We start from the raw sequence: 13,730 nt of genomic DNA on the forward strand, positions 1-13,730 counted from the left end.
GGAGTACTATATACTATGTCAGTGATAAGTGTCATGATGTAAAGTACAGCAAAGAAGGGAAATAGGAAATGTGGAAGACCACAGAGGAAGGATTGCAAAGTTGAAATGTGTTCAGAGAGGGCTCGCTGAACAGGTGGCACCTACAGACCTTCTCTCAAATGAAGGTGATTGAGTGAGCTGTGCAGATGTCTGGAGAAAAAGCTTTCTGGACAGGAGGAGCAGCCAAGTGCAAAGGCCATGAGGAGGCAGCAAACTTGGTGTCCCTGTGGAGCAGCAGGGAAGACAGTGTAGCTGGAGCAGAGTCAGTAAAGGGGAGAGTAGCAGGCAATGAAGTCACAGTGCTAATGGGTTTTTGAAGGGGAATGGTGGTGAACAGCAGATCATATAGTCCTGTAGGGTTTTGTAAGAACTTCAAAGTTTTTTCTGAATAAGATGGAAACCCACTGAAGGAATTTGAACCAAAAATCTCGATAATCCTGATTCATATTTTCACTGAATCACTCTGATTGCTGTGAATTTAGACTATTGGGCAAGGGCCAACATAGATACCAGCTAGGAGGTCATTAGAATAACCAGATGGGAGAGAGAGTAGTTGGACTAGAGTAATACAGGATGTGCTGATGGCCTGGAGAGGGGTATGAGAGGAAGAAAGGTGTCCAGAGATGACTTAATTATGACTTGAGTGCTCTGAAGGAGGAGGGAAACCACAGGAGATGCAGTCAGGTTTTTGTAAGGAGGGATGGGATGGGGATGAGGAGCTGTGTGGACATTTGAGTTTGAGATGCCTGTTGGACATGCAAGTGGAGATACTCAGTGGTTGAATACAGATACCCTAGACCAGTATTCAAAGCAGGGGACTGGGCCACCCATCCAAATTGGGGAGTAGGTTATCAGTGGCGTTTACTCCTTGAGACAAGACGACATCTCCAAATGTTTGAGTAGAGGTAGAAAAGAGGAGGTACCGAAGTACTGAGGGCTGATACTCACCAGCGTTAAGAGTTCAGGGGATGGTGGCAACCAGGAAAGGTGATTGAGAAGCAGCAGGAGGTAAGGTAGGAGGAGAAATAAGTGTGGCATCTTGGAGACCTAGTGATGAATAAGCATTTGAAAGACCTGGGAGTGATCAAGGTGTCAGCTGTTTCTCTTGGGTAAAATCAGATAAGCGCTGACGATTGACTTCAGGGATGAGTTTATTATTCATGTGGAAGATAGAAGATGCCTTTTCCTATTGCTATTCCAGGACAGCTCTAGACTTAAAAGTCAGATGAACCGGATTCCGGTCCCAGCTTTGCCTCTAAATCTGAGGCCTAAGTTATCATCTGACTCTGAGTTCCTGTCTCTAAAAGGCGGATAAGAATACCTACCATTTAAGATCTACCACAGGGGGTTATTATGAAGATCGTGTAAGATGATGTATAAACTGAAATAGGTCATGCAAATATAAAATATTATTTTTAAATTATTTGTCATAAGAAACGATGGTGGCCATATTTTGCTTTAATAATGGAAAAAATGTGGTTAGCATTCTTTGGAAGGTGGTCATCAGATAGTAGACATTTTCTAGGATTTATTTCTACCTGCATATGTGGAAATGTGTACTACTTTAGATTTATTTAATGGCAGCTAACTCAGAGGCATCAAAATGTGCTAATGGTGTAATATGGCCTTTGTCTTGCTGTTCTGTTTTGTAGGCCTTCAATCAAGCAGGGGCAGGGCCGTACAGTGAACTTGTCCTTTGCCAGACGCCAGCGTCTGCCCCTGACCCCGTCTCCACTCTCTGTGTCCTGGAGGAGGAGCCCCTTGATGCCTACCCTGATTCACCTTCTGCGTGCCTTGTACTGAACTGGGAAGAGCCGTGCAATAACGGATCTGAAATCCTTGCTTACACCATTGATCTAGGAGACACTAGCATTACCGTGGGCAACACCACCATGCATGTTATGAAAGATCTCCTTCCAGAAACCACCTACCGGTGAGTGCAAGGGAGTAGAAATCTGCATCAGCACATCAGCACTTGGGGATCTAAGTAAACCTCTCGGGGAAAATGACCAAGTGGATGTCATCTCCCAGCTGTTTCTAAGAGCCCAGATGTCCAGAGTATTGTCTCACCTTGATCCCTCAGGCCAGAAGACCTGTGAAAAAGCCACACTGGTTCAGGGACTCACTGGACGGTTTTGTGTCCACTCTAACCTGCACCGTCTCTACCCCAGAGTGGACTCAAATCCTCAAGTCAGTCCTCTGAACATTGAAGTCAGAAATTATAAAAGGGCTTTGGCAATATGTTAGCCCAAGAATTTGGCTTCTTCCAGAAATTGTGCCGACCTTAACAGTGGCTTAAATGATGGTAAAACTTTTAAGATTTCTAAAAGGATGGCATTGGAGATACGTTGACTTTTATTAAACAACCTATAGTTGTTTAATGACTTCTAAAAAAATATCTGGAGCTCAGGGGTTCAACTGAGGGAACACATGTTGAGAATCATTGTTTACTAATTAAATGCCAGGTAACCGTTGAAATTATCAAAAACATCTTCCACGTACCAGAAAGCACCTCAGAGGATAGTTCTGTTATGGAGAAGATGAAATGGTTTAGTAGTGTAGGAACTATGGAAAGGTGAGCTTAGATTTGGATAGTAAAACCTCAAGACCCTATTTAAAAAGTATTTTATGAATGCAGCATAAATAATTTAATTCAGTGTTAATATGCCAAGGCTAGTATATTGAGCTGAATGTGAAAAGAAACTCACATTGGGAGAATGCCACCTTTTCCTTATAAGATAGCTTTGAAGATACCATTTTAGACAGATGGAAATTGAATAGCTTTAGAAAAGGCAAATGTTTGATCTTGGGGAAAAAAAAAAAACTTTAGATAGTCTTTGCTGGCCAATCAATAAATTATAAACTGGACATTACATACTTGAGGTAAAAATAATTCATACTTGCTTTTTCTTTTACATCTTGAAGTAGAGGCTGATTTTTCAAAATAATGAATAGGCTACCAAATGAAGGAAAATCAATCAAAACCTTAAAAATTCAAAGTATGTTCAATATCATTCTATAGTAGTTTATTTCTGGTTAACATGTAGGACAGTTTTACATACCCATTTCTGTTTATATACAAATAGAAAAAAATTTCAAATATGAATTATCATATTTAAATTGTTTCCAATTTTAATCCATTGTTCACTAAATCTGAATTACATTTTATGAGTCAGTATTTATCATTTAATAATAGTACATTTTATATTTTATATCATGAAATCATAAACTAAATATTAGGGACCAAGTTCAATTAATATTTTTGCTTGCTAATGTTTATAACTAAGATATTGGTATGCCCGTATCAGTAAATGAGTATTTTTTCAATAAAGAAATATAAACAATAAAAAAAAATAATAATAATAATAATTCATACTTAAGACCAACTGGTTTATAGCTTTAGGAATTTTAGTTTCTATAGTACACAATTGGGTATACTGTATAGTATTAATAGAACTCTGGTCAACCCACAGTCTTGTTGTTTTATGTTTCAAAAACATAATTGCAGTAATTATAGTGAAATACAAAATGAGTATTTCAGGGAACCAAAGGTATAATTTTGGCCCAATCAACTTTTATTTCACCTTTTTTCTGTCCTATAAATTGGTTAAAATATAAATGAACAGATCATGATGTTCTAGATAAAAACATGTGGAATGAAACATTTTAAGCAGACCATGGAGCTTGGATAAAAGACTTGTTTCTTTTGTTTGATTTTCTTTTTTTTTTTTTTTTAAGCCTTCAGCAGTTACATATTGTTCTCATACCAAGCTTATTCTTTCTCTGTGTTGCCAGGACAGGGTTGTACACCTCTCTAGTAAATGTACTAATGCAAAAAAGCTTCTTCAATGGATCGGTCATTTCTCCATGGGTGCTATTATAGCAAACTACCCATTGGCTTGCTGACACACTCTGTAGAAATTTCACTAGAATTACAATACTACTTTTAAAGGCATTCCTTTAAGTTTATAATTGAGTTAGAAATTGAATTTGTCCTTTAATTTGAAGGAAAACAGTATTATTAAAAATGAAAACCTAACTTTGCTCTGTGTGCTTCCAGCCAAGTAGTCACAGATTTGGCAAGATAAGAGGGTAATCGGATCACCTGGTATCACCCCTTCCCAGTCCTTGGCTTGAGCATCTTCAGTGACAGGGGCAGTGGTTCTAGCTTCCACTCACCAGGCAGTCCATTCTATTTGTGGATAAACCTCTCTATATCTAAAATCAACTGCTGACCTTAGAACTTCCTCAATAGCAGTGATTCTCAAAGTGTGGTCCCTGGACCAACAGCATTAGCATCACCTGGGAACTCGATAAAATGCAAATTATCAGGCTCCACCCCAAACCTACTTAATTAGAAAATCTAGGGGGGGGGCCTAGCACTTGGTGCTTTAATTAGCCTTTCAGGAGATTTTGATGCTTATGAAACTTGAAAACCTTGGCCCTAGAGCAGTGATTCTTAAATGTCAGTGTATGTAAGAGTTGCCTGGAGAACCTTTTCAAAATACAGGTGTTTGAGCCCTACACCTGTAGGCCGCAATTGGCCCCAGAGGGGGCCTAAACATCATTACGTTATAATGTCAGCTGTCTCTTATTTACCCATCCCACCATCATTTACACTGTCTTCATTAGCACAGGTTTTCTATAACTGCCTCCAACCTCTTCTTTAAATGTTTTCAGGTTTTTGGTGGCCTCGCTGATGTGCAGTGCCCAGACCTCCAGGAATGGTCTGGTTGGCTGGCTCAGAGCAGACCAGGACTATTGCCTTCCTTGTTCTCCATACTGAGCAGTTAGTGAGGTTGCCTGAGATTACTTTTTTTTAAACAACCTTATTATATGCCTGACTCAGACTGAGCTGGCAGGCAACCAAAACTTAAAGTAGATTTGTTTGTTTTGCTCATTTGTACTCCTTTTGCTAAGTAAAAAAGGCTTAAAAATAACATGTATTGAGCCCTTACTATATGGTAAGCACTATGTTAGGCTGCCCAGAAGTGAATCATAAATCATTTTGTCATAACAAGGTGAGATGGGCTTTACTAGGAGACAAGTTCTGGGTAGTTCAGTGGTAGCAGACGAGTCAGACAGCCTTGACTTCAATCCTATCCTTCATTTATTGTCTCTGCAAACTTTGGGAAGTTATTTAAGCTCTCTGTGCCTCAGTTTCCTGACCATTAAAAAGGGGATAATAATTTTCACTACTTAACAGAGTTGTTGGGTATTTTGATAAGAGGTCAGGTACCTAGTATGGGGCCTGACACATAGTAAATAAATAATCAGAAAATCTGTTGTTAATGTTCGGTAGGGAAGAAATGAACTCAAAGATGGGTTGTGACCAGATTATAGGTAGAGATCTTATCTGTAGAAACCTTATCCTTCAAGGTTTTTTTGCCTCCAGAGCAGGGTATGAGAAGAGCAAGTCTCAGTGCCTGGAGCTGGAATGGTGGCATTGGTGTCAAAGGAGCTTTCAGGAGCAGGAGCTTGGTGGGAGGCCAGTTCCGACTCCTCCTCCAGGAAGCCTTCTATGAATAACTTTACTCGGAGCCCATCTTTTCCCCACCAAAAGGGATTTTCGTTGTTTGCTATTATTTCGTACTTAAGACATTTTCTGATGATTATTCTCTTCTTTCATGTTTTTCTTAATTAGATGATAATCTAGGGCAGGGGTGTTGTAAAAGCCAGCCCATCTTTTGCTTCTCAGGCCCCTCCTACCCTAGCCCTTTACCTGCGGGCCCTCTCAGTCTCCCTCACACCCACACTCTTGACATCCCGAGCTCTGAGATGGCCAGTCCTGATGAGGGAAGTCTTCCCAGCTAAGGATGGTTTGTTTCGAAAGTCATTCTTCTTTTAATATATTTTGTAGTAGAAATTTGATTATGTATATGTATATATTTAAAGTGCGTTGTAGAAGGCTATGATCTTCTAAAGCAGGAGTGTATTTGCATGTAAAATGTGGTCCTTTAATGGTGGATTTTTAATCAAAATTTATAAAGAATGTGGTTCTTTGATTTATTTGATTTGTTTAATCAATAATATTAGTATATTGATGGATATTGCAGACTCCTGGAAACATGAAGAGATTTTTCACATCAGCCTAGCCAAGAAGAATTTGCTTGGGATTACATTACTTCTCCAAATTGGAAAGGAAAATGCTACTTCCCTTGTACTTAATTTGCAGAGCTGAAGATTTTTTAAACTGACATAATGCAAATTAAACAAAACAAAGAGACCTGCAGATTTTATCTAAGTTTCAAGATTAGCATGTTACTTGAGCTAAAGAGAAAACTTCTCAAGTTTGGGTTTTGGATAGACTCTAATTAATAAAACTTAAAGTTTAGTTTTTATTTTCTGAGGTGAATTCTTGGAGTGGTTCCTCAGGTTAATGTTTGTTTTGCCCATTAGTCCAATGTCACCTTTCACTGGAATTAGGAAATTATTTTCCCATACTGTGTTTTTCACCCTAAACCAAAACAAACAGTAACTGCCTTAGTCCTCATTCAGCTGTCTCAGCCTCCTGTGCTCAGAGGCCTTAATATTTTCCCCAGAATGCAACAAGACATCATTTCATTCCATTTTATCAGTTCCTCAGTTTTTTTTTTCAATTTTGAATGTTACATCATCATTAGAAATAATTAATGTTAGTTCAGTGCATCAGCTGTACACGTAAATGTTCACGTATTTTCGCTGAAACAAAATGTGTTTTTGTAAAAATGTAGGATAGGTTGAATTGAGTATTTTAGAATCTAGGTAGTTGATTTCAGGGCCAGATGCTGTTTAAATAATGTGAAGTAAACTTGTTGACTCTTCTAAATGCCTGCTTCCTTGGCAGACGGTCAATGTTGAACTGAAAGTGTGGTTTGAATTAAAAATGGTCATTTGGTAGGATTTGTAACCATATTTGGCCCCTGTTACGATATAAGAGTATGGTGTGCCAGACACACAGGCCTTTGCACCTAAAGGGAGTTCTGCTCACGCCTGGATCTAACATGTGTCTGACATGACCTAGCTGAGCTGCAGTTTCTTCAGTTGTAAAGCAGACAAAGTAGCTCCTACCTTATGGGGTCAGCATAGAAATCAGAGATGATATTGTAGATGTCAAACCTAGCTTTCAACCCCTAGTAGTCACTCTGTCATTTAGATCAAGTTATTTAACCTCTCTGCATTTAACTTTGATTTCCTCATCTCTAAAGGCAGATGTAATAGTAGTTCCCACTCTGTAGTGCATTTTCTGGAACAGAGCAAGTTCTCAATGTGTGTAGTGATGGTTGCCATTGTTGTTTTCTTCAGTTCCTGAGATCTTTGTCTCACTCTCACCTTGCTGCGGATGGCCTAGAAAGAAGCCCATCCTTTCAGCTGTTGCTGAGTCCTTGGCCATTACTTGGAGGAAGTGGGATCAGCAAGTTACTCATGTTGTAAAGTGAGGTGGTGTAATAGTGCAGCCGCAGTGAAGACCTGTCCCTGTGCCAGCACTGTTGGGATGGCGTGACACTCTCAAAGAAGTCATCAGGATAATGACTCCAAAAATTAACACTTGAAAATTTGCTAGTGCTTTTGGCTGCCTTGAATCCTCTCCTGATTTTACTGTGGAGTATAAAATATTAAAAATTGGAAAGTGCTTCTTACATCCCTTATCTTAGTTAGGTAATCTTCTTTGTAATTGCAGAAAAAAGTCACTGTCCCCAATTTATAGATAAGAAAGCTGTTACTTAAAAGTGTTCAATAATTTCCCCAAGGTCTCCAAATTGATGAGCAGGATTCCCAAAGAGGCTACACTGCTAAAGAGTGTTAAATGCTACCACAGTTTTCTTGGTGGTGGTGGTGGTGGTGGTGGTGGTGGTGGTGGTGGTGGTGGTGGTGGTGGTGGTGGTGGTGATGGTGGCGGTGGTGTGTGTTAAGGCTAGGATTATATGCCTAGGAGATACTCAGTGAAAGATTAGAGAACCCTAGAGCTAAAGATATAAAGAACCTAGTACTTACCAAAATACTAGGGAGGCTTTGAGGAAGGAAATGAATTTACAACAGAAGCCAAAAATCAAATCTAAATTTTTTTTATATCTTGATACTTGTATCTTCTAAACTATTTTTAAATTCTTATAAGTGATTTAAATCTCTTAGCATTTTTTTTCTTGAGTATAGAATAGAACAACAATCTTAAGGAACTCATTACCTCATTTTCTTTTGTGTATTAAAGTAGCTAAGAGCTATTCAGGTGGCACAGAGCAAAGGGTAGGATCACCTAGAATACAAGGTGAGCCAGCAGATGGCAGAAAGGATCTTGGCCTCTGGAATCTAGGAATGTTTGTACCTAGAGTAAAGGGAAGGAATGGTGGTTTGGACACTGGAAGGACCTTAATATAAACCTTGTAGGTGAGGAAATGTGTTACACTGTTGAAGAAAGACTAAAACTTAATGTCCGGCTTAATTTCCTTTTCCTGAGAAGGGAAAGAGGATAGTAATTTCTACCATCATGATGACTGCCTTTTTAAAAAGATTTTTCATTTCCAGTTGCCGAAAAATATGTTACATTCCAATCATAGAAAGAAACTCTTCTATTAATACCATAAAGCAATCTTATAAGACTCATATGGGAGGCAAGGAAGAGTTCTAATCTTTCAGTGTTATACCGAGAGACTTATATTGCTTTATCTACAAAAGACTTGATGCAGCCCCAGTGTAATAGAATCTGGGAAAAGTAAGGCCCTTTGTAATGGAGTTTTTGCTCTGCTTTATCAGAGATGAGTATTTACTACGTTCCAAACTATGAGGAGATATTTATCTAGTTTTAGGTGATTATAAGTAGAGCTGCTGTAAACATTTGTGTGCAGGTTTTTGTGTGAACATAAATATTAATTTTTCTAGAGTAAATAAATACCTGGGATTGGGATTGCTGGGTCATGTAATAAGTATATATTTAAAAGGCAACTGTTTTCCTATGTGGTGATGCCAGTTTTCATTATCACTAGTGAAATAGGAGAGTTCCAGTTGTACCTTATCCCTGCCAGCACTTTTTTAACATAATGGTATTACATTGCGAATTTAGTTTGCATTTTTCTAATGGCTAATGATGTCAAACATGTTTTTGTGTCCTTATTTGCCATCTGTATTCCCTCTTTGGTGGAGTGTCTATTCTAGTCTTCCGCCCATTTTTAATGGATTATTTCCTTAACTGAGTTTTGGGAGGTCATTATACATTCTGGTTACAAATCATTTGTCAGATGTAATATTGGCACATACATTCTTCCAGTCTCTAGTTATTTTCATTCTCTTAGCAGTGCAAAAGTTTCAAATTTTGATGAAATCCAGTTTTTTATTTTTTTCTTTTATGTAAGATCATGCTTTTCATGTCATATCCAAAAACTCTTTACTTAATTCTAGGTAGTAGATTTTCTTCTGTGTTTTCTTCTTAAAAGTTTAATATTCTACATTTAGATCTGTGGTCCCTTTTGAGCAAAGTTTTGTGTAAGGTGTGAGGTTGAAGCTGAGGTTTATTTTCCTCCTATTGATATCCAATTATTTCAACACCATTTGTTGAAAAGACTGTCTTTTCTCCATTGGATTGCTTTTGCACCTTTGTCAAAAGTCAATTGGCCCCATTTGTGTAGGTCTATTTCTGGAGTCTCTATTCTCTTGTATTGATCTAGGTGTTCTTCTCTTCACTGGTACCACACTCTCTTGATTACTGTAGCTTTATACTAAGTCCTAAAATCAGGTAGTGTGATTCTTCAAACTTTATTCTTATTTTTAAATTTTGCATTAGCTATTTTAGTTCCTTTGCCTTTCCACATCACTTTATTTTTTTAATGTATAAAGAAAAGAGATTTGTTTGGCTTATAATAAACTGTAGGCTGTACAAAACCTTTGGTTCTGTAGGCTGTACAAAAAGTGTGGTGCCAGCATATGCTTCTAATGAGCCCTCAATAAACCTTTAATTATTCAGTCCTCCTAGGCCTCTGGAGGAGAGGGTCCATGTCTCCAAGGTTTGTGAAATGCCCTTTAAGGGCTTTTCCCCATTATCCTGAATATTAGTACCAGGCTCCCTTTTAATCCTGCTAATCTCTCTAGCAAGTGGTTGCTCTACAGACTGCATTGATTCTTCTCCTGAAAGTACTCTTTCCTTCTCTACCACATGGCCAGGCTGCAAATTTTCTAAATTGTTACTCTCTGCTTCCCTTTTAATTATAAGTTCTAACTTTAAGTCATTCCTTTGCTCCCATATCTGATCATAGGTTGTTAGAAGCAGCCAGGTCACCTCTTGAACACTTTACTCTTAGAAATTTATTTTGCCAGATACCCTAAGTTATCACTCTTAAGTTCAGCCTTCCACAAAGCCCTAGGACATGGAAACAATGCAGCCAAGTTCTTTGCTCCAGTTCCCAAAAGTTCCTCATTTCCATCTGAGACCTCCGCAGCATGGCCTTCACTGCCCATATTTCCATCAGCGCTTTGGTCATGACCACTTATTCAGTGTCTAAGAAGTTCCAGACTTTCCTGTCTTCTTCTGAGCCCTCCAGACTCTTCCAGTGTCTGCCCATTACCCACTTCCAAAGCCAGTTCCACATTTTCAGGTATCTTTATAGCAACCCTCTACTCCTCAATATCAATTTTCTTTTAGTTCATTTTGTGTTGCCAAACAATTCTCCCACCACAACCTCCCAAGTACTGGGACCACAGGCATGTGTCACTATGCCCACTAAATTATTTTTTTGTAGAGATGGAGTCTCACTAGGTGGCCCAGCCTGGTCTCAAACTCCTGGACTCAGGCAATCCTCCTGCCTCGGCTTCTCAAAGTGCTGGAATTACAGGTGTAAGCCACCACGCCTGGCCTAAAATAACATTTTATATATACATTTTAACTCTTCGATTTTAAATTCATGGATGATTAAGGTAATATGTTTCTTATCCATAACTCTGTGCTACACATAGCAAACATCCAGCTAAGATTTTTGCACATCTGGATGCCATCCCATTACTAACAATATCTGCATGCTTAGCTCTAGATAAGGACTTGCAGAGATTGTTGGATGAGGCTGGCAAAAGGGAGACATGAAATGTCCTGTTGATGAGTTGTCCTGTGTTTTTGACTCTGAAGGAGACTCATTTGTTCCCCCATTTCATTTACTCTTGATAGCTCACCTACTTCCAAAACTGACCATGAGGTAGCTAAACGGTAGCTAGGACAAAATATAAAAGCGTATCTTTAAGATATCTTCCCTGAGACAACAAACCTATTTTTTTTAAATTAAAGAACTAAGAGATATCTTGCTACCGTGCTTTTTTGCTATTTTTTTTTTAAATGGAGACTATAGTCTGTCCACTGAGCAACCCCGTGCTTCTATTTGTCTTGAGTTACTTTAACTTGTTTTTCTTCATTCTATGTTATTGCTTTAGGGACAAGTAATAAATACTATGCTCAATGTTTATTTCGAATGAAGAATTGCTGCTGCTTTAACCTGCATTGTCTGTATTTTTTTTTTCCTTTCTCTAGGATCAGAATTCAGGCTATAAATGAAATTGGAGCTGGACCATTTAGTCAGTTCATTAAAGCAAAAACTCGGCCATTACCACCCTTGCCTCCTAGGCTAGAATGTGCTGCTGCTGGTCCTCAGAGCCTGAAGCTAAAATGGGGAGACAGTAACTCCAAGACACATGCTGCTGAGGACATTGTGTACACACTACAGCTGGAGGACAGAAACAAGAGGTGAGGTGGGGGTGAGGATGCTCCTGAAGCTTCTGTAGCTTTGGCTTGTGGGATGAAATCTCAATTGTACATTTTTATTTGCTTGCACTAAGACCCTCTTCCTTCTTGTTCAGAGGCTTCCTTTGACTTGAGCCCTGCGTTTTATACCCGGAGTCGTTCCTTTTATTCTCTATTTGGAATTTCTAAACATTCTAAAGATCCTGATTTCCCTACATAGCATAATATGCACTTTTTTTTCCTTTCATCAAGCCAGATAATGGAGAGAAAGTATCTAAAGAAAATTGTCAAATTCAAGTTCACACTATGTAATAGCATTATATTAGTCATGAGTGCAGAGGGAAATAAGACCCAGGAAGAGATGTTACCTCTTTAAATATTCAGTAACCATCAGGACAAACATGTTTACCAATGTGAAATAGCTGTGGGTGATGTACAGATGGGGACTGTACTCTGTAACTATGGGCAATGCAATATCAAATTAACCAGAGCAAATAGGAGATTCTTCATAAAACTCCATACCCAGGAAACATTCTTGGCTGTCAAAATCAAATGTAGCCTTTCACGTAGTATTTGTTTAACCTAACTTCATTTCCTCTGAAAATGTCCGATCAGAAGACAGCCAAACTGTATTTAGAAATAATCCAATGTCAAGCAAAAGTTAATGGTGACAGAATGTTCTGTTACCAAAAGTCCTAATCAGACAATCAGGTAAAGGGAATGGGAGATCACCATAAAACCAAAACAACCAAAATGCTACTTCCCTGCTTACCTACTGACACACAAAACCAGTGTCAGGATAGAAGCATTTCTGTTATTTCCTTTTATGCATGATACTATTCTGTTCCTTCACGTATGGAACCCATTCTAGTTACACGGAAAACCCTGTCCCAGTCTCCACCCCCTACTCTGCAGTCAAGCACTTTGATGGATTTCAGTACAGTGGAGTCCTGTGGGCCTTCAGTGGAGACCAAGATTAGAAATCACATAAGACCCTACCTCTAGAAGCATAGTATCAATTTTTAAAATGGCCATAGAACATTAGTGTCAGAGGAAAAAATTGCTTTGGGAGTTTGAAGGAGGCAGAGACCATCTGGTTTAAAAGATCAGGAAAGATTTCTTGAAAGAGGTGACATTTGAGCTTGACTTTGGAGGACCTGGCAAACCTGGTAATTTTTATGACAGAACAAAACGTGATTATCCTCTTGGAAATTAGTTCTAGTGAAGAGAACACAGGGGAGGTAAAGCTTCTTTTGATAGGTTCATGAAAGATTAAATTCATATCCACTGATACACAAGAGCATTCATCTTATTGTGCTATATGTGCCTTCGGATGTGTTTTCATGGGCTTTTTATTTTACTGGCTAGGGACAACTCAACAGGAGAGGGCTGGCAAGAACAGCAATTGTGAACTAACAGAAATCACAATCCATGTATAAAAAAACTAGCATTGGGGGAAATTTTTAAATGTCTTTTCATTTTTTCCCAGACCTGTGGCTTCCATTGGTGGTAAATCCTTAGAAAATAGCTTCTAGTTGTGCTGTTTTAGAAAAAAGTGAAGCACAGAAAAGTTGTTGAAAGTGGTAGCTAGCTGAGTTGGGATAAAGGCCAGTGCCTCCCAATTCCCCGTGCCCTGCCTCCACTGCCATCTTAGAAATGTGGGAAGTGAAGGCTCTGCCCCAAGGGCACCCCCTCTTGCTGCAATCCTGCCCTGTGTGGGGCAGCAGCCCACTAGTGCCTCATAGGGAGAACTATACAAATGTGTAGTCTGATCCAAGGTTTTCCATGACACGGTGGCTCCTGGGCAAAGAACAAAAGCTCCCCAAGCACTTTTCCAAATGAGGTTCCTGGCATGAGGCATTTAAATATGCCAGACAAAAAACAGTGCAGAATCTAGTAATCAATACATGTTGTTTCTTCCCCCCTCAAAAAGCCCAAGGCTTGCCTAATCAAATAAATGACTTGCCTAAATTTAAATGGCAATTTAAGAAAACTTCGC

The 13,730-nt window shown here is 39.0% G+C and overlaps 1 protein-coding gene across 10 annotated transcripts in view; it reads left to right on the forward strand.

The window, feature by feature from the left end:
• The window catches only part of FNDC3B (fibronectin type III domain containing 3B), a 362,092-nt gene that overhangs the window by 311,534 nt on the left and 36,828 nt on the right, over positions 1-13,730 (forward strand). For all 10 annotated transcript variants that reach the window (NM_022763.4, XM_017007062.2, XM_024453717.2 and 7 more), the window contains 2 exons: positions 1,692-1,972; positions 11,522-11,734. In NM_022763.4, coding sequence (NP_073600.3) covers positions 1,692-1,972; positions 11,522-11,734 — 494 coding nt within the window. The remainder of the gene's footprint in view (positions 1-1,691; positions 1,973-11,521; positions 11,735-13,730) is intronic.

This window comes from Homo sapiens, chromosome 3, assembly GCF_000001405.40.
Source record: "Homo sapiens chromosome 3, GRCh38.p14 Primary Assembly".
In the NCBI taxonomy this organism is placed as follows: domain Eukaryota; kingdom Metazoa; phylum Chordata; class Mammalia; order Primates; family Hominidae; genus Homo; species Homo sapiens.